The 21542-nt window shown below is 44.6% G+C and overlaps 1 long non-coding RNA gene across 2 annotated transcripts in view; it reads left to right on the top strand.

The window, feature by feature from the left end:
- The window catches only part of LINC01115 (long intergenic non-protein coding RNA 1115), an 88587-nt gene that overhangs the window by 61371 nt on the left and 5674 nt on the right, over positions 1-21542 (top strand). For both annotated transcript variants that reach the window (NR_111963.1, NR_033880.3), the window contains one exon: positions 807-1027. This is a non-coding gene — a long non-coding RNA (long intergenic non-protein coding RNA 1115). The remainder of the gene's footprint in view (positions 1-806; positions 1028-21542) is intronic.

The following is a 21542-nucleotide window of genomic DNA, read 5'->3' as shown; positions in this document are numbered from 1 at the left end:
CCTGACAAAGCCTCCTCTGGGGAACATGCATGGCCCCGTGACCTCTCTGTTGCATGGGAGCGTAAGAACCCGTGGCTGGTAACACTCTTTTCCTTGTGTGTGAGTAAGTATCTACCATAAATCGTGCCCTTGGGTCCAGACAACCTTGATGTTGCTGTACTTCAGTTGTCCCACCCATGCCTTCTGAACCACCCCTTCACCATGGCTCAGAGGCCCTGGGCCTGGAGGTTATGGGTGGGGATCCACCATCTTGTCTGGCTGCAGACACAGCTTCTGTCCCTAAGTTCCTACTAAATGTTTCTTTCTGAAAAACCAGGTTTTCTGGCCTCTTTCTCTGGCCTCTCAGCTTCCTTGGACTTTGAGGGCAGTTGCACCTGGACCTCCCCACTGTGGAACAATACAGTATCTAGTGTGTCTCATGTTTTAATGTAAGCAGCCTTGATAATCACCACATAGGTATATTAATGCATCATGGGTAGCAAATTTGTAATATTTTAATGTTACCATCTTTTCTTATTTATTAGCTGAAATATTTCTATGAAGAGAAACTTCCCCTTGTTGACTCTTTCCTCGCCCTGAGGTACAGTTTTTATACGAAAGGCAGGATCAATGCTTTTCCCTTCTCTCCATTTTCAAAATTATGAGGTTTTTTCCTCTGTTATTTCCCAAAAGTGATCACGGATTCCTTTGATTTTAGGTGTTGTTGAGAATGATTAATAATTCATGGGATTTAAACTATAGATGTGTTTAGAGTCCCTCAAGGTTATCATTATTCTTGATGTTAAAACAGTCCCATTCTTTTCCAGGGGAAGCTGTTCATGTTCTATCCTGCGTGTTCTCGAGAAAGTTTTGATGACAGAAAACATCACACAGAAAGGGGAAGGCATCGCAAGTTTCCAGCTCCATGGATTTTTGCAAACTGAGCACATTTGTGGGCCAGGAGTGGGGCCCACAGCGAGAATATCCTTCCTGCTGCTCCTGCCATCCATCCACCAGCACAGCCAGTTCCCAGCTGTGGAACACACAGGTTAGTTCTGTCTGTTTTGTTGTTTATGCAAATGGGACCATACAGTGTTCAGTCTTAAGTCTGGCTTCCCTGCTCAACATCATGTGTGTAAAATTAACCTGCACTGATGTGTGGAGCATCTCACGGGCCATCCCTGTGGCTCTCCATCATCCCTTGTGAGAATGGATAACACTGTTGTTCATTTTACTCCTCGTGGGACTTCCTAGTTTCCTCGTCTGCTGCTGTGACTATTCTCACACACATCCTGTGGCTTTGAAGCAAGAGTTGTCTCCGAGGGGTTTTTTGTTTTGTTTTGTTTTGTTGTTTTCTCCTGGCGTAACATGATGCTGTGGCTCACTTTGTGCCTGTCTTCACCAGAAATAGAACCAGCCATTTTTCCAAGGAGCAGTGATCCTTTCCATGGAAAATGAGGGTTAGGGACCAAAGCATTTTCACTTTATTTTATTTTATTTTATTTATTTTTTTTCTTTTATTATTATACTTTAAGTTTTAGGGTACATGTGCACATTGTGCAGGTTAGTTACATATGTATACATGTGCCATGCTGGTGCGCTGCACCCACTAACTCGTCATCTAGCATTAGGTATATCTCCCAAAGCTATCACTCCCCCCTCCCCCCACCCCACAACAGTCCCCAGAGTGTGATGTTCCCCTTCCTGTGTCCATGTGATCTCATTGTTCAATTCCCACCTATAAGTGAGAATATGCGGTGTTTGGTTTTTTGTTCTTGCGATAGTTTACTGAGAATGATGATTTCCAATTTCATCTATGTCCCTACAAAGGACATGAACTCATCATTTTTTATGGCTGCATAGTATTCCATGGTGCATATGTGCCACATTTTCTTAATCCAGTCTATCATTGTTGGACATTTGGGTTGGTTCCAAGACTTTGCTATTGTGAATAGTGCCTCAATAAACATACGTGTGCATGTGTCTTTATAGCAGCATGATTTATAGTCCTTTGGGTATATACCCAGTAATGGGATGGCTGGGTCAAATGGTATTTCTAGTTCTAGATCCCTGAGGAATCGCCACACTGACTTCCACAATGGTTGAACTAGTTTACAGTCCCACCAACAGTGTAAAAGTGTTCCTATTTCTCCACATCCTCTCCAGCACCTGTTGTTTCCTGACTTTTTAATGATTGCCATTCTAACTGGTGTGAGATGGTATCTCATTGTGGTTTTGATTTGCATTTCTCTGATGGCCAGTGATGAGCATTTTTTCATGTGTTTTTTGGCTGCATAAATGTCTTCTTTTGAGAAGTGTCTGTTCATGTCCTTTGCCCACTTTTTGATGGGGTTGTTTGTTTTTTTCTTGTAAATTTGTTTAAGTTCATTGTAGATTCTGGATATTAGCCCTTTGTCAGATGAGTAGGTTGCAAAAATTTTCTCCCATTTTGTAGGTTGCCTGTTCATTCTGATGGTAGTTTCTTTTGCTGTACAGAAGCTCTTTTGTTTAATTAGATCCCATTTGTCAATTTTGGCTTTTGTTGCCATTGCTTTTGGTGTTTTAGACATGAAGTCCTTGCCCGTGCCTATGTCCTGAATGGTAATGCCTAGGTTTTCTTCTAGGGTTTTTATGGTTTTAGGTCTAACGTTTAAGTCTTTAATCCATCTTGAATTGATTTTTGTATAAGGTGTAAGGAAGGGATCCAGTTTCAGCTTTCCACATATGGCTAGCCAGTTTTCCCAGCACCATTTATTAAATAGGGAATCCTTTCCCCATTGCTTGTTTTTGTCAGGTTTGTCAAAGATCAGATAGTTGTAGATATGCGGCATTATTTCTGAGGCTCTGTTCTGTTCCATTGATCTATATCTCTGTTTTGGTACCAGTACCATGCTGTTTTGGTTACTGTAGCCTTGTAGTATAGTTTGAAGTCAGGTAGTGTGATGCCTCCAGCTTTGTTCTTTTGGCTTAGGATTGACTTGGCAATGCGGGCTCTTTTTTGGTTCCATGTGAACTTTAAAGTAGTTTTTTCCAATTCTGTGAAGTAAGGCATTGGTAGCTTGATGGGGATGGCATTGAATCTGTAAATTACCTTGGGCAGTATGGCCATTTTCACGATATTGATTCTTCCTACCCATGAGCATGGAATGTTCTTCCATTTGTTTGTATCCTCTTTTATTTCCTTGAGCAGTGGTTTGTAGTTCTCCTTGAAGAGGTCCTTCACGTCCCTTGTAAGTTGGATTCCTAGGTATTTTATTCTCTTTGAAGCAATTGTGAATGGGAGTTCACTCATGATTTGGCTCTCTATTTGTCTGTCGTTGGCGTATAAGAATGCTTGTGATTTTTGTACATTGATTTTGTATCCTGAGACTTTGCTGAAGTTGCTTATCAGCTTAAGGAGATTTTGGGCTGAGACAATGGGGTTTTCTAGATATACAATCATGTGGTCTGCAAACAGGGACAATTTGACTTCCTCTTTTCCTAATTGAATACCCTTTATTTCCTTCTCCTGCCTAATTGCCCTGGCCAGAACTTCCAACACTATGTTGAATAGGAGCGGTGAGAGCGGGCATCCCTGTCTTGTGCCAGTTTTCAAAGGGAATGCTTCCAGTTTTTGCCCATTCAGTATGATGTTGGCTGTGGGTTTGTCATAGATAGCTCTTATTATTTTGAAATATGTCCCATCAATACCTAATTTATTGAGAGTTTTTAGCATGAAGCGTTGTTGAATTTTGTCAAAGGCCTTTTCTGCATCTATTGAGATAATCATGTGGTTTTTGTCTTTGGCTCTGTTTATATGCTGGATTACATTTATTGATTTGCATATATTGAACCAGCCTTGCATCCCAGGGATGAAGCCCACTTGATCATGGTGGATAAGCTTTTTGATGTGCTGCTGGATTCGGTTTGCCAGTATTTTATTGAGGATTTTTGCATCAATGTTCATCAAGGATATTGGTCTAAAATTCTCTTTTTTGGTTGTGTCTCTGCCCGGCTTTGGTATCAGGATGATGCTGGCCTCATAAAATGAGTTAGGGAGGATTCCCTCTTTTTCTATTGATTGGAATAGTTTCAGAAGGAATGGTACCAGCTCCTCCTTGTACCTCTGGTAGAATTCGGCTGTGAATCCATCTGGTCCTGGACTCTTTTTGGTTGGTAAGCTATTGATTATTGCCACAATTTCAGCTCCTGTTATTGGTCTATTCAGAGATTCAACTTCTTCCTGGTTTAGTCTTGGGAGAGTGTATGTGTCGAGGAATTTATCCATTTCTTTTAGATTTTCTAGTTTATTTGTGTAGAGGTGTTTGTAGTATTCTCTGATGGTAGTTTGTATTTCTGTGGGATCGGTGGTGATATCCCCTTTATCATTTTTTATTGCGTCTATTTGATTCTTCTCTCTTTTCTTCTTTATTAGTCTTGCTAGCGGTCTATTTTGTTGACCCTTTCAAAAAACCAGCTCCTGGATTCATTAATTTTTTGAAGGGTTTTTTGTGTCTCTATTTCCTTCAGTTCTGCTCTGATTTTAGTTATTTCTTGCCTTCTGCTAGCTTTTGAATGTGTTTGCTCTTGCTTTTCTAGTTCTTTTAATTGTGATGTTAGGGTGTCAATTTTGGATCTTCCCTGCTTTCTCTTGTGGGCATTTAGTGCTATAAATTTCCCTCTACACACTGCTTTGATTGCGTCCCAGAGATTCTGGTATGTTGTGTCTTTGTTCTCGTTGGTTTCAAAGAACATCTTTATTTCTGCCTTCATTTCGTTATGTACCCAGTAGTCATTCAGGAGCAGGTTGTTCAGTTTCCATGTAGTTGAGCGGTTTTGAGTGAGATTCTTAATCCTGAGTTCTAGTTTGATTGCACTGTGGTCTGAGAGATAGTTTGTTATAATTTGTGTTCTTTTACATTTGCTGAGGAGAGCTTTACTTCCAAGTATGTGGTCAATTTTGGAATAGGTGTGGTGTGGTGCTGAAAAAAATGTATATTCTGTTGATTTGGGGTGGAGAGTTCTGTAGATGTCTATTAGGTCCGCTTGGTGCAGAGCTGAGTTCAATTCCTGGGTATCCTTGTTGACTTTCTGTCTCATTGATCTGTCTAATGTTGACAATGGGGTGTTAAAGTCTCCCATTATTAATGTGTGGGAGTCTAAGTCTCTTTGTAGGTCACTCAGGACTTGCTTTATGAATCTGGGTGCTCCTGTATTGGGTGCATATATATTTAGGATAGTTAGCTCTTCTTGTTGAATTGATCCCTTTACCATTATGTAATGGCCTTCTTTGTCTCTTTTGATCTTTGTTGGTTTAAAGTCTGTTTTATCAGAGACTAGGATTGCAACCACTGCCTTTTTTTGTTTTCCATTTGCTTGGTAGATCTTCCTCCATCCTTTTATTTTGAGCCTATGTGTGTCTCTGCATGTGAGATGGGTTTCCTGAATATAGCACACTGATGGGTCTTCACTCTTTATCCAATTTGCCAGTCTGTGTCTTTTAATTGGAGCATTTAGTCCATTTACATTTAAAGTTAATATTGTTATGTGTGAATTTGATCCTGTCATGATGATGTTAGCTGGTTATTTTGCTCGTTAGTTGATGCAGTTTCTTCCTAGTCTCAATGGTCTTTACATTTTGGCATGATTTTGCGGCGGCTGGTACCGGTTGTTCCTTTCCATGTTTAGCGCTTCCTTCAGGAGCTCTTTTAGGGCAGGCCTGGTGGTGACAAAATCTCTCAGCATTTGCTTGTCTGTAAAGTATTTTATTTCTCCTTCACTTATGAAGCTTAGTTTGGCTGGATATGAAATTCTGGGTTGAAAATTCTTTTCTTTAAGAATGTTGAATATTGGCCCCCACTCTCTTCTGGCTTGTAGGGTTTCTGCTGAGAGGTCCGCTGTTAGTCTGATGGGCTTCCCTTTGAGGGTAACCCGACCTTTCTCTCTGGCTGCCCTTAACATTTTTTCCTTCATTTCAACTTTGGTGAATCTGACAATTATGTGTCTTGGAGTTGCTCTTCTCGAGGAGAATCTTTGTGGCGTTCTCTGTATTTCCTGAATCTGAATGTTGGCCTGCCTTGCTAGATTGGGGAAGTTCTCCTGGATAATATCCTGAAGAGTGTTTTCCAACTTGGTTCCATTCTCCCCGTCACTTTCAGGTACACCAATCAGACGTAGATTTGGTCTTTTCACATAGTCCCATATTTCTTGGAGGCTTTGCTCGTTTCTTTTTATTCTTTTTTCTCTAAACTTCCCTTTTCGCTTCATTTCATTCATTTCATCTTCCATTGCTGATACCCTTTCTTCCAGTTGATCGCATCGGCTCCTGAGGCTTCTGCATTCTTCACGTAGTTCTCGAGCCTTGGTTTTCAGCTCCATCAGCTCCTTTAAGCACTTCTCTGTATTGGTTATTCTAGTTATACATTCTTCTAAATTTTTTTCAAAGTTTTCAACTTCTTTGCCTTTGGTTTGAATGTCCTCCCGTAGCTCAGAGTAATTTGATCGTCTGAAGCCTTCTTCTCTCAGCTCGTCAAAGTCATTCTCCGTCCAGCTTTGTTCCATTGCTGGTGAGGAACTGCGTTCCTTTGGAGGAGGAGAGGCGCTCTGCTTTTTAGAGTTTCCAGTTTTTCTGTTCTGTTTTTTCCCCATCTTTGTGGTTTTATCTACTTTTGGTCTTTGATGATGGTGATGTACAGACGGGTTTTTGGTGTGGATGTCCTTTCTGTTTGTTAGTTTTCCTTCTAACAGACAGGACCCTCAGCTGCAGGTCTGTTGGAATACCCTGCCGTGTGAGGTGTCAGTGTGCTCCTGCTGGCGGGTGCCTCCTAGTTAGGCTGCTCGGGGGTCAGGGGTCAGGGACCCACTTGAGGAGGCAGTCTGCCCGTTCTCAGATCTCCAGCTGCGTACTGGGAGAACCACTGCTCTCTTCAAAGCTGTCAGACAGGGACATTTAAGTCTGCAGAGGTTACTGCTGTCTTTTTGTTTGTCTGTGCCCTGCCCCCAGAGGTGGAGCCTACAGAGGCAGGCAGGCCTCCTTGAGCTGTGGTGGGCTCCACCCAGTTTGAGCTTCCGGGCTGCTTTGTTTACCTAAGCAAGCCTGGGCAATGGCGGGCGCCCCTCCCCCAGCCTCGCTGCCGCCTTGCAGTTTGATCTCAGACTGCTGTGCTAGCAATCAGTGAGACTCCGTGGGCGTAGGACCCTCCGAGCCAGGTGCGGGATATAATCTCGTTGTGCGCCTTTTTTTAAGCCCGTCGGAAAAGCGCAATATTCGGGTGGGAGTGACCCGATTTTCCAGGTGCAGTCTGTCACCTCTTTCTTTGACTAGGAAAGGGAACTCCCTGACCCCTTGCGCTTCCCGAGTGAGGCAATGCCTCGCCCTGCTTTGGCTCGCGCACGGTGCGCGCACCCACTGACCTGCGCCCACTGTCTGGCACTCCCTAGTGAGATGAACCCGGTACCTCAGATGGAAATGCAGAAATCACCCGTCTTCTGCGTGGCTCACGCTGGGAGCTGCAGACTGGAGCTGTTCCTATTCGGCCATCTTGGCTCCTCCCCCCTATTTTATTTTATTTATTTATTTTTTAATTTTTACCTAAAACTTAGAAACAATCCTATTCAACTAAATAACTTATAAAAATTAGTAAATAGCAAAATAAATTCCTTTAGTTTTCAAAAGGTTTCTCTTTAATTATCAGTGCTTTATGCAGTTGAATAACACAAATGTTAGCATGGCGGGGACAAGAAAAATAAACCCTGGCCCGGAATACTTCAGAGTTGGATTTCGAACTTAGAGAAAAAGCATGGTATTAACAAGCCCTGTCATCTGCAGCAAAGAATATGGTTGTGGTTTTAACAAAAGATTAGTTAAATCATTTACTCACAGTTTATGCCATAATAAACTGTTTTCGAATCAAATATTTAAATGTAAAATCTAAAACTATATAAGCACCAAAAAACATGAAGATATTTTCTTATGGTTTCAGAATGAGAAATGTTTCCAAGTATTACTATAAGTAGAACAATTAAAATTTATAATTTGATCAATATTTTAAAAGTGTCATGGTTCCAAGGAAATGGACAAATCATGAAATTCGTTGCTATCATAAAGCACATTTTTTAAATGATTAAATGGATTCTACAATTCAGTAATAAAAATACCAATAATCCGACTGAAAAAATGGCCAAAAGATGAGACAATAAACAGAGTACAAATGCTCTAAAGGATGCTTAATTTAATTAAAAATAAGAAAACTATTGAAATCATGAATTATGATTTTTGATTTCTGCCTCTAGGATTAGGAATAATTGGATCATTAAGAATGTGGAAAGATGTGTGCTCTCTTCCACATTGCTGGTAGAATTGCAAACCAGCTTAGCATTTATAAAAAGCATTTGAAAATTAGACACTAAAGATAAAACGCTCCTACTCTTTTGACCTGATAATTTGATATCTTAAATTTTATTAGATATATGTTATCACATATGTATAAAGTATATAGATTGATGTATTAAAAAATAATTAAATACCTTATAAGTAATTCAATAAGGCATTGCTTAAATAAACAAGGCCGTACCTACTCAATGGAAAATAACATTTCTTTTCAAAAGAATGATAAGCTCTATACTAGTAAGGCATAATCTTCAAGATATATGGTTAAGTGATAAAACCTGATTTTAGATTGTGTGCATCATGTGTTTTTGTGTGTATAAGAATTAAAGTTGGAAAACATTAGCAGAATATAAATAATACGTTATAAGCAACATATAATAGACAGTGCACAATGTAGGTCACGATGATACAGGAGGGGCAGGAAAGGGCTGGGTAGAGAAGGGCAGGCTCCCAGTGAGGGCTCCACCCTCGGGCCTGTGTCCATGGACCTAAGTGAGAGCAGGCACTTCTGTTTTCCCACCTGAATGTTGCATTTCCAAGACCACTCTGGCCTGCCACACCCCCCATCCTGTGCCCATATAAACCCGAGACCTTAGCAGGCAGACACACAAACTGCTGAATGTCAAGAGAAGTGGCAGAGAGCAGCAGAGAGCGGTGGAGAGAGGCAGAGAGCAACACTGTGGCCCGGCAGAGAAGGAGGGAAGAGGCACCTGAACACCAAGAGGAGTTCACTGACAACAGCCAAACTCCAGGAGAAGATGATCTCCCCCGCTCCTCCACCTTCCAGCTCCCCGTCCATCTGCTGAGAGCCACCTTCACCACTCAACAGAACCCTGCACTCATCCTTCGATCCTGCTTGTGATTCGATTCTTCCAGGACGCTAGACAAGAGCTCGGGATACAGAAGGCTGTCCCATTGGCTCTCTGCCCTTGTGATAAGGCAGAAGGTCTGCTGAGCTGGTTAACACTCAAGCCATGTACAGGCAGCCAAGCTGAGAGAGCTCTGTGACACGGGGGTTGCACGCACTCACCTCTAGAAACTACTGCAGGGCCAAGAGCCCAAAGTCCTTGCCCCAGCTTCTGCCCCTGCCCCTCTGCATGCTCCTGCTAGGGGTTTGAGCTGCAAGGTGGCCAAACAGGTGAGCCACACTCCTGTAGTATGTCCTGCGAGGGGAATTCAGAGAATTCTCCAGTTTCAACAATATGCTGTATCATACAGTGTGTAACATACAACAGGTGTAATGCAGAACATGTAGCATGCACTGTGCACTGTGTGCGTGGGACATCTTCCTGTCTATAAACGGGACTATATATATACACACATATATGTATACATGTAGCATGCACTGTGCACTGTGTGTGTGCAGGGGCACCTTCCTGTCTATGAACAGGGGAATATATATATAAACACACATATATACATGTAGTATGCACTGTGCACTGTGTGTGTGCAGGGGCACCTCCCTGTCTATAAACAGGGGACTACACACACACACACACACACACACACACACACATATACATGGATGCTATTTGCTGTTATTTGTTGCACATGGATGGACTGTTTCTGGGATCATCCAGAAGACACAGAAAAAGCAATTAACTTCAGACAGGGAGTTCTGTTGCTGGGTGAACAAGTAGACAAGGTGGGATTTTACTTACTTATTTTTTATTTTAAATTTTGAACCAATTAAACACACTCAAATACATTCAAACATTAAAACAGTCGGATTTTGAGAATTACTTCATACTGGGCTCTGTAGGAACAGTCAAGGCCTCCCCCTCCCTCTAGGTCATAACTGGTCTGGGCTCAACACCAACTCATCAGGTGAGAAGGAGCCAGAAACAGCCGGATGGGTGCAGGCAGCTGCAGGGGGCCTGGCTCACTCACCCAGGTTCACAGCCTCAGGGGCTGTGTGGGGCTGTCACCCCAGCAGCCGGGTTCCAGAGCCCCACTCTAGATGTACCCCACCCAACTCAAAGGCAAGCACACCTTCCTGGGGGTGCAGCTGGCACTGTCAGCCGTATGGAGCCTCAAGCTACTTCCAAGGGGAGCCCATGACCCTTGATTCCTTAAAAAAAAAAAAAGGAATGATTTTCCTTATTCCAGGCACGTCTTTCCTAATAGTGGAGCAGAGAGAGTGCCGCTGCGCTGAATCCCGGACGGAGTGGCGTCCATGTTCACGTTCCACGCAACGTAATATTGACTCACCAGACTGAAGTCCCCACTACAGCAGCCGGCCCCGGCAGAGCTTTCAAGGAAGGTTGTAGGGGCTGGTGTTTCCCACAGCTGCTGGGCTGCTCGCTTCCCGGGATCCCTGGGTAGTGGTAGGGATGCGTGGCTGTGCAAAGTCTTCCAGGCGGGAAGAGAGCAGCCAGGATCCCGCAGCGCAGTGCAGGATGCGGCCTCAGGACTGCCTGGAGTCAGGCCTTGTGCGGGAGCAGGGAGGGTGCCCAAGGCCTGTTCCCAGGGGCCTGAGGGAGTGGAGGGCCCCCACTCCTGGGTGTCAAATCAAGTGTGGCCTAAAGCTGCCTCCTTACATATTTTAAGTTCGGCCTAGAGGTTTCTCTGTACGTGGTGAGCTATAACCTAAGCGGAGTTGTACACAGACTGTAGCCTATACTTGCGCCAATCACCGAGATTTGGCCACTCAGACGTAGCCGGTTGTTTGAACCCTGTTAAAATAAGGCAAATGCGGGCTGTAATCAGTCCAGCTGTCTCTGTCCCTCACGTCCGTTTCTGTCTGTTACTTTCCCTTCCCTGTCCATAAATCTTCCTCCCCGACGCGGCTGCGCTGGAGTCTCTGAGCCTCCTCCGGCTGGGAAGGCTGCCCGATCATTGCTCGGTTAAACTCTGTTCAACTTAATTTGCCTGAAGTTTTTCTTTTACCAAGGGCTTTCACTGTTGGGCCAGACTCCTCCAGACAGAGCCCTGGGGCCCTGCGGGGCAGGCTGTTCCAGGTTAGGAACGAGCTGGTGACTCTGGCCCATCATTCCCGCCCGTGCCAGCTCCCCCCAGGGCCCCCAGGGCAGGCTCTGTGGGCCATTCCTTGTAAAATTAAGTTCCAGGTCCACCCGCTGCAGCTCCTGACTCCACGTGCCTGGGCCATGGAGGTCCTGGTGGCCCTGTGGGTGCCTTTAGTGACAGTTGGTGAGCCCCTGCCTCCGTCCCCGTCTTCCCTGGTCCACACTGAGTGTGTCCCTTGTATGTGGAGTCTGCGTGTGTGCCGGGTGACCTGATACCCGGTCCTGTGTTCTCTAGGCCAGTTGGTGGCAAGCGTCAGGTGTGTTTTTTCCACACCGTTCTTCCTCCCGCTGTCAGTATCTCAATACATTAGGAGCCTCACTGTGCAGCTTGCGTAGGAGCTGCAGAGCTATGAATCAGGCACTCGATCAAAGTAAAGTAAATTTTGTTTAATAGCATGTGGCCATCAGCACTGCAGACCATCCGGGGGGCTTCCAGGGAGAATCCCACGCCTGATGTTGTGTCTATTCCTTTTCAGCAGCTGTGGAAAAGAGCTATTTGCTTGCTGTGTTTCCTTTTCTTCTAGCTGCGAAAACCAGAGCGCAGGATGTTCTTGAACGACATGGAATCAACCCAAATAAAATGCCTCCTGCTGTGAAAAATCATAGAACGACCACTTCAGATTTCCAGGCTCCGGGATAGCAAAGCGTCTGTGAATTCTACAAGACAGCCAGTTCCCACTGGGAGCTGATCCATTTTGTCTAAAGCACCAACTGTTTTGAGCAATAAGCCAAAAACAAGGTTTTACAGATGGTTCGTCTCCCACAAAGGCAAAATAACCTATGGGGCATCATTTGACAACTCCACACGTGGGCACTGGGACAGGAACAGGTGGCCAGGCCTTTCCTTCCCTGTGGTTTGTTTCCTCCCTTTCTGGCCGCAGACCTCACTCAGTTCAGTACGTGCCAAAGGCCTGGCCTCAGCATCTGCCATACGCCTCGGAGCCCAGCCCCACTCAGCTTCCAAGTCACCGGGCCTGCCTGGAGCACCGAGTCTCTGCACCGGCTCTTCCCTCGAGACAGCATCTTCTCCATGGCTCTGGAGGGCCACACGCCCACCTTACACTTCCTCACCTGCTCATTTGCAACTGGAAGCTTGACGAGTGTGATCAGCCAGAGAGTTGATTCACCAGAATGTCTGCATTCTCTTACGGGCTTTGCAAATGCCAAATCGTCGAGTGTTTCTGCTTTTAAAGTTTAAATCCTCTCGCTGGTAAGCGAATAATTATTCTTAAAAGTAGACTCTACTGGAAAGGTCACTAAGAGGGTTATTTCCATTAAAAATACATTTATGTTTCTTGAAATGTGTTAAGTGGCCTTTGTCAAGGTGTTTATAATAGAAGAGTATATAAAAATGAATTTCTCTAGAGATGCAGCATACTCTAAAGATCCATCATTAGATAATTAAAAATATGTAAGTCATGCTAACATTTCCATATATAAATGGAGAACATTAACTCTCCTACTGTTTAGTTATAAAATACCAAATTTTGTAATTATCCTATCTTGAATTACACTATACTGCAAAAATGCCAGTTACTCACTTTTAAATTTGACAATGTATGTGATGAATTATAAATTTAATAGCCTACATCTTTTCTCTTGTATCAAATTCTCAGAACTTAATCTTAAACTTTTGTTACTGGAGTTAAAAGGTTGCTGCTAAGATGGAAAAATACCGATTTAGAAAAAAATAATGTATATAATGGAAACATCTGTTAATTTAAACATATACATTATGCAAATGAGCATACTATTTTGTACTTTGAGGTCAGAGAGGATAAAATATACAATGTGTGCTCTAAATAGATTTGGAACACTTTATAATATCAAAGAATTTAAAAACGGTAAGATTGTCTAGCTCTTCCATTCATGGGACAAAAAATTAAAAATAAGAAAAATTAAGCAATCAGTTAAAGACAACAACAGCTGGGATCCTCCCTGTGACTCCCAGGCGAGGGCCATTTCTACAGCTTCTCCAGTGTGTGGAGTGGGTCAGTCCTTAAACTGGAAGCCTTGACTAGCAGTGAAACAGCCCGACAAATGTTACCTATTTTCTACACTTTTTTTCAAATATGGTGAAAGTTGTCAGAATGAAAGTGGAGTCGCTTTTGTTAAAACCTGGATGAGCTGAGCTGGGGAAGGCCTTGGAAGGAGGGCTCTGCTGCACGAATGCCTGACAGCAAGAACTATCACCAAAGACTCTGCAAACACCACATCCATGCACAAAAGCCCCAAGGACCTCGCAAGGGCTCTGCTGCACGAATGCCTTGACAACAAGAGCTAAAGACCCTACAGACACGACATCCACGTACAAAAGCCCCGGAGACCTCAGTCAGAAAGCACCTCTGTGAGGACATCTGCCCAGCACCTGCCTGTCCCACCCCACACTGGCACCACCCTTGCTATGGGCCCTTGTAGGCAAGGATAATTGTCTCCAAACAACTTACGTTTTCTTTAAAAATTCTTGTCTTCCTTGACCTCCCTGAATGTATTCACTGACTCCCATTGCAATGCTCAATTCCCAAATATTCTTTTCTTCAGAGGGTCTTTCTGTCTCTTATTTAGGTTGGCAATAATAAAGTCAAATTACAAAGAACTCAGAAGAAAGTTCAAACCTGTTTTCAGGGACGAATGGTCTCTCGACACTGTGTCTTCTTAGAGTAGCACCTGGTTCCACCTGTGTGCTGGTTCCGCCTGTGTGCTGGTTCCGCCTGTGTGCCGGTTCCACCTGTGTGCTGGTGTTGGCTCTCGACACTGTGTCTTCTTGGAGCAGCGCCTGGTTCCGCCTGTGTGCTGGTTCCACCTGTGTGCTGGTTCCTCCTGTGTGCTGGTTCCGCCTGTGTGCTGGTGTCCTCCTGTTTTCAGGGATGAATGGTCTCTCGACACTGTGTCTTCTTGGAGCAGCGCCTGGTTCCGCCTGTGTGCTGGTTCCACCTGTGTGCTGGTTCCGCCTGTGTGCTGGTGCCCTCTTTTCTGCCATTATTTTTATTTCCTAAAATGTTTTCCATCCTCTTTTCTTCTGTGTTCAGCCTGTGAGTGCAAAAGTAATTGTGCTGTTTGCATTGTTGGAATTTGCCATTTGATATTGGAAAACATTTTAAAATACATGTGGTTACGTTATGCATCATTTTAATGAGCATTTCTCACTTTATGTTTTTTTGCTAATAACTTATTACTTGCTGTTATTTAACGTTTATTTTAGACTATGGAAATGATGTTAGGAAAAAAGCAAATTCAAGCAATTTTCTTATTCAGGTTCAAAATGGGTCATAAAGTAGCTGAGATGACTTGAAACATCAACGATGCATTTGGCCTCGGAGCTGCTAACGAACGTAGAGTGCAGTGGTGGTTCAAGAGGTTTTGCAAAATGATGAGGGCCTTGAAGATGAAGAGCGTAGTGACAGGCCATCGGAAGTTGACAATGACCAATTGAGAGCAATTATCAAGCTGATCCTCTTACAACCACACAAGAAGCTGCCAAAGAACTCAGCGTCGGCCATTCTATGGTCGTTTGGCATTTGAAGCAAACTGGAAAGGTGGAAAGCTTAATAAGTGGGTGCCTCGCGAGCTGAGTGAAATTTTTTTTAAAAATTGTCATTTTGAAGTGTCTTCTCATTCTACACAACAACGAACCGTTTCTCAATCAGACTGTGACGTGCGACAAAAAGTGGATTTTATACAACAACCCGTGATGACCAGCTCAGTGGTTGGACTGAGAAGAAGCTCCAAAGCACTTCCCAAAGCCAAACTTGCACCAAAAAAGGTCCTGGTCACTGGTGGTCTGTGCCCGTCTGATCCACTACCGTTCTGAATCCAAGTGCAGCCATTACACCTGAGAAGCATGCTCAAAAAACCAATGAGATGCACGAGAAACTGCAATGCCTGCAGCTGGCATTGGTCAATAAAAAGGACCCAACTCTTCTCCACCACAATGCCTGACCACACGTCTCACAACCAACACTTCAAAAGTTGAATGAATTGGGCTACAAATTTTGCCTCATCTGCCATATTCACCTGACCTCTTGCCAGCCGACTACCACTTCTTCGAGCATCTTGACAACTTTTTGCAGGGAAAACACTTCCACACCCAACAGGATGCAGAAAATGTTTTCCAAGAGCTCGTCAAATCCTGAAGCATGGATTTTTATGCTATGGGAATAAACAAACTTATTTCTCCTTGGCAAAAAATGTGCTTATTGTAATGGTTCCTATTTTGATTCATGAAGATGTGTTTGAACCTAGTTATAATGATTTAAAATTCATGGTCCAAAACCACAATTACTTTTGCACCAACCTAATATTTTCTGCTTTATGTGCCATCCAGTTGACTATCTCAATCACTTCCAATACCCACGTGTTTGGTGCTTAGCTGCAATTATTTTATTTTCCAGTTACACAACTTTCATTTGTTGCATTTTTTGAAAAAGATAATTTGTGTCTGATTGGCTCCTCCACCTCATGGCTGGTATTCTTGGAGGACACCTTCATTGTAATCTGCGTCTCTTCACCACAGAGGCTGGTGCTCCCTGATCAGCTTCTCTTGTCCTTTTCTTACAGGGTCTTTGGGTGTCGTTTTTTGGTCCAGAAACCTCTGTGGCTGGTGGCACCTTTGCCTGAGTTTTGCTCAAGCCCACTGTGCTGGTTCTCCCCACTTGGCCTAGCACGCTGTGCTCCACTCACACAACCAGCCTGGGTCCGTGCCTGTTAAGGGCAAGTCAAGCATGGAGCAGCAAGGGGTGCATGAGGGAGTGTGGAGTCCAGCCAGTGTGCAGTCAGCACACCGGTTGCTGCAGTGGGGCAGGCAGCTCCAGGTACCAGCATGGGTGCCAGCTCTCTGCAAGGCTGCGGCTTGACTAGGCACACCACAAGCAGCTTCCATGGCTGGCACTGGGGAATGCAGTGGCACTTGGAGGCCTGAAGACACCAAGAACTGCAGGGCCTCAAAGAGGTAGTCACAGCCTTGGCTTGGGGAGCTCTGAGGTCTGGGATCCCCAGAGGGCCACAGCGCTTCTCTCACTCTCTTTGCCTGCAATGTGGTGAGCAAGGGGAGTATTTCAGCCCCATTTTTATGACAGCTTTTTTAGCCATGCCACTCGGTAGGTCCCAAATTCTTGTCCTGTGACCAGGAAGAATGAAGTATGCAGACAAGTGGAGGGTGAGCAGGATGAAGGGGAGCTTTATTGAGTGATAGAACAGCTCAGAGAAGGGGATAGCTCCTTTCCACAGCCAGAGTGCCCCGATGAGTGTCCAGCTCCTAGCAGATGGTAGCTCCTCTCTGTGGCAGGTCATCCCACCATCTCCCCAGCTCCTAGCAGAGAGGAGGCCCTGGAGTGGGTAGCTCCTCTCTGCAGCAGGTCATCCAGATGTCTGCTCACCTCTGGCTGAGCCCAGAGCTTTTATGGGCCTCAGAGGGGAGGAAGTGAATGCCAAATGATCCGTGGGCAGCCATGGGCAGGCCCAGAAAAGACACCACAAGTTTTCACTTTGGTTTGCAAGACCCCAAACCTTCAGGCCCTTCCTGGTCTGAAGGTGAGGCCTCACCAGGGACCTGTCCCCTCTGCTCAGGAACCTGCTTGCCTCCTGCCATGCTTCATGGCGCCCAGACTGTAGGTGCCAAGGATGCATGCAGGCCAGCCCTGAGCTGCCTTCAGCCTCCCCTTGGCTTCCCTCCTATGCTCCTTGGTGCCCAAAGTCTGGAGGTGGGCTGAGGCAGCAGGGGGCTGGTGTATCAGCACTGCCTGGAGCATGTGCACACCCAGCCAGGCTGAGACAGTGCCTGGGCTTGGCCCTAACTTTGCTCCAAGATTGGAGTGAGTGCCAACAGCAGGGAGAAGCCAGGCAGCAGGAGCAGGAACTTCTGAGCCTGTGAGGTCAGAGGAGGCATTTTTGGGCCCCCAAGAGTGCAGAGATGCCTGGGTCCACAGCCGTGGTTTGGGTGGCTGCAGCTGCACACATGGGGGTGTGGATCCTGCCTGCTCTGTGGAGCAGGAGGCCTGGGTCTGCAGCCATGACATGGGTGTCCTGCCTGCTCCCACCCCATCAACTCAGAGGGGTCAGGGATCCCACCTGTCCTGGCTCCCACTGGCTCTGTGGAATGTGCAGCCTCTGCCGTGCCTCCCCTCTGCAGCGGCTTCTGGCTGCTCTAGATGGGCCTCCCCTGCCATTACTTCTCTTCTCTACTCTCCTTTTATTTTTAGTTTGCTTTGTCCTCTCACTGGTTTACTTGGTAATCTTTAACTGAATGCTATGCTATGAATTGAATGGTGACCACCAATTTATAAGTTGACACCTGACCCTCAGTAATTGAGAATGTGACCTTATTTGAAGATGGAGCCTTTGAAAACATAATCAAGTGAAAATGAGGTCATTCAGGTGGGCTGATCCAGGATGATGGGGGGTCTTGTGACTTCTTATGTCCAGGGGAAAGGAGGACACAGAGCCGCACATAGGGGATGACCACGTGAGGACACAGCAGGAAGGCTGCCGTCCACCCATGAACGGAAGAAGCCCCAGGAGAATGCAACTCTGCCCCCACCTTCATCTCGAACGTCTGTCCTCCCAAATCACAAGAGAACACAGTTGCGCTGCTTAAGACACCCAGTGTGTGATATTTTGTTATGCAGCAACCCTAGCAAACAAATGCAGCCAGTTACAATGTGTGATGCTGTAGAGAGTCCAGGCCAGAGCACGCTGACCACCTTAGCTAAGCATTCCCTTTCTGGCTGTAGCCAGATATGATGTGTGAGTCTGCAGATCATGCTGGCCCCCTTGACGAAGCATGCACTTTCTGGCCTAGGCCGGATACGATGTGTGAGGCCACGGAGAGTCCAGGCCGGAGCACACTGACCGCCTTGGCTAAGCATTCATTTCCGTGTCCTGGCTGCCATCAGAGAGGAGGCAGGTCCCACAGATCTGCTCTTGTTTCTGCTGGTCTGAAGTGGGGTTTCAGTTTCTGTGTGGAACAATTCATTAGGGGTTTGATCTCAAAGCCCAGGCATTGGCCTGTACCTGTTCCTTCACGGAGCCGAACTCCTGCTTATGGTCCCCAGCCTACAGGCAGCCAAATGGGCTAGCCCCAGCCAAGGGGCTGTTTGGCGACCTCTGAACCACAGCTCTCCATGGTCTCTTGTTTTCCAGGCCTGAGCCACTTACAAACTGCAGACGTTTCATTCAGGGAGAAAGCTGCACATGCTCCGAGACCCACCTGAGAAAGCTCCATCCTTTCAGAATCTAGGCCCCTCTGGTCCTGCCATTTTGGTGATATGCTTTGGCTCTGTGTCCCCACCCAAATCTCATCTCAATTTATAATCCCCACGTGTCGAGGGAGGGACCTGGTGGGAGATCATTGGACCATGGGGGCATTTTCTCCCATGCTGTTCTCATGATAGTGCGTGAGTTCTTATAAGAGCTGATGGCTGTAGTGTGGCACTTCCCCGCTCTTTCTCACTCTCTCTCCTGCCACCTTGTGAGGAAGGTCCTTCTTCCCTTTCACCTCCACTATGATTGTAAGTTTCCTGAGGCCTCCGTAGCCATGTGGACCTCTAAGTCAATTAAACCTCTTGTTTATAAATTACCCAGGCTTAGGTAGTATCTTTATAGCAGTGGGAGTAACCTTGAGTGCTGAATTTTTTCTGGACAGCTGTGTTTGTCTGCTCAGAACTCAGCATATGGTTTGGCTGTCACCCATGTCTTTAAGGTCAGCTCTCTGGACTCTCCAGCCCTAGATAACACTGCACTAGCAAATGCCCAGAAAGGGAGAACCCCACAAAAAGCCAGGCCTGCCTCAACCTGCTTCTCTTCTGTCCAGAATGCGGCCCCTTGGTGAGTCTGAGATAGCGCCTGGAAGACATCTCTTCTTTTGTCCAGTGGTTCTCATTCCTGGTGGGAAGATTAGTCAGCAGGATGGCTCTGCCAAAATTGGAAGTGAAATTTTAAGAATACAGTATTTAGGAAAATAGTTTGAATATTCCTCAAGGAAAATGGCAATAGCAAGAAAGAGAATTGATAATAGTTTCTGGAAAAAATACTGTGCTGAGATAAGAATTGATGAATCAGGAAGTTAGCAGAAGAGCTGGCCATTCATTCGATTCACCTTTGATTCACGTGCTCCCGCTCCTGATTCCTTCTCTGTTGAGATACTGCTCTTTCCCTGAGTCGTGATGTAGTCACCGGTTTAAACTTTATGAGTTTTAAATTTTATGCTTTTGGGAGTCTTATTTAGGAAATCTACACTAGCCTTATACCATAAAGATGTTTGGGTACATATTCTATGCACTTAATAATTTTCCTCTAATATTTACATTTTTAAGCTTTAAAAGGTTACTTTTATGTGTGGTTTAAGTGAAGGATGGTGATTTATTATTCATCATACAATGAACCAGGTTTCTAACCATGCTAGTGAGTATGAGAAGGTATTTCATTGTAGTTCTAATTTGCATTTCCCCGAAGATGAATGACATTGAGCATTTTTGCATTTGCTTATCAGCCATCCATATGTCTTCTTTGGTAAAGTGCATGTTCATATGTTTTGACAATTTTTTTTATTATACTTAAAGTTCTAGGGTACATGTGCACAACGTGCAGGTTAGTTACATATGTATACATGTGGCATGTTGGTGTGCTACACCCATTAACTCATCATTTAACATTAGGTATATCTCCTAATGCTATCCCTCCCCCCTCCCCCCACCCCACAACAGGCCCCGGTGTGTGATGTTCCCTTTCATGTTTCCATGTGTTCCCGTTGTTCAGTTCCCACCTATGAGTGGGAACATGCAGTGTTTGGTATTTTGTCCTTGCGATAGTTTGCTGAGAATGATGGTTTCCAGCTTCATCCATGTCCCTACAAAGGACATGAACTCACCATTTTTTATGGCTGCATTGTGGAAGTCAGTGTGGCGATTCCTCAGGGATCTAGAACTAGAAATACCATTTGACCCAGCCATCCCATTACTGGGTATATACCCAAAGGATTATAAATCATGCTGCTATAAAGACACATGCACACATATGTTTATTGCGGCACTATTCACAATAGCAAAGACTTGGAACCAACCCAAATGTCCAACAATGATAGACTGGATTAAGAAAATGTGGCACATTTACACCATGTTTTGACAAATTTTTAATCTCACCTTTGAGAAAATCAATTGACAGTAAATGTTGGGATTTATTCCTGGACTCTCATCTGTTCCCTGGTCTCTACATGTATCTTCACGCTGGTGCCACATGTCCTGATAGCTGCCATTTCCTAGTATGCTTCAAAATCAGGAAGTTAAAGTCTTTTATCTATTTTTTTTTCAAAATTGATTTGGTTATTCTTGGCATTTTTCATTTTCATAAAAATATTAGGATAAGGTTGTCAATTTCTTTAAAAAGCTGTATGGAATTTTGATGGAGAGTGCATTGAATCCATATCAATTTGGAGAGAATTGTCTTCTTGATTAGCTTTCTATTGTAAGAAATTACCACAAATTTAATGGCTAAAATTAGCACAGATTTATTACCTCACAGCTCTGGAAGTCAGAAGTCCAAAGTTGGTTTCACCAGGCTAAGATGAAGGTGTTGGCAGGGTTGTATTCCTTCCACAGGCCCCAGAAGTCTTTTTCCTGGCATTTTCCATGTTCTAGAGGCACCTGACTTCTTCAGCCAGTGGCCCTTCCCTCTGCCTTCCTTCCTGTAGCTCTCCCACCTCCCGCTTTTTCCCACAGGGATCCACATGATGACACTAGACTGGCCCAGGCAATGCAGGAGAATCTCATCACTCAAAATCCTTCAGCACACCTGCAATGCCAATTTTTGCCAAGTAACATATTCAAAGGTGTCTGGGATTTGAACATGTTATCTTGTGGGGTGGGGCATTATTTTGCACATTAAATCAATGTTAAGTCTCACAATCCATGAACAGAAAATGTCTCTCCATATCTTTAAAGCCACTTTAATTCCTATTAGTAACATTTTCTAATTTACAATGCACGTGACTTGCACTACTTTTGTTAAATTTATTCCTACGTATTTCATAATTTTGGATGATATGAATAAAATTGCATTCTTAATTGCCTTTTCAGGTTGTTCATTGCTTACATATGGAAATACAATTGATTTCATATTAATTTGTATTCTGTAAACTTGCTGTGCTTTCAAAAATTAGTTTTAATAGTTGTTTGTGG

This window comes from Homo sapiens, chromosome 2 (genome assembly GCF_000001405.40).
Source record: "Homo sapiens chromosome 2, GRCh38.p14 Primary Assembly".
Classification (NCBI taxonomy): domain Eukaryota; kingdom Metazoa; phylum Chordata; class Mammalia; order Primates; family Hominidae; genus Homo; species Homo sapiens.
Note: the sequence above shows the minus strand (reverse complement) of the source record. Positions and strands in the feature narration are given on the sequence as shown.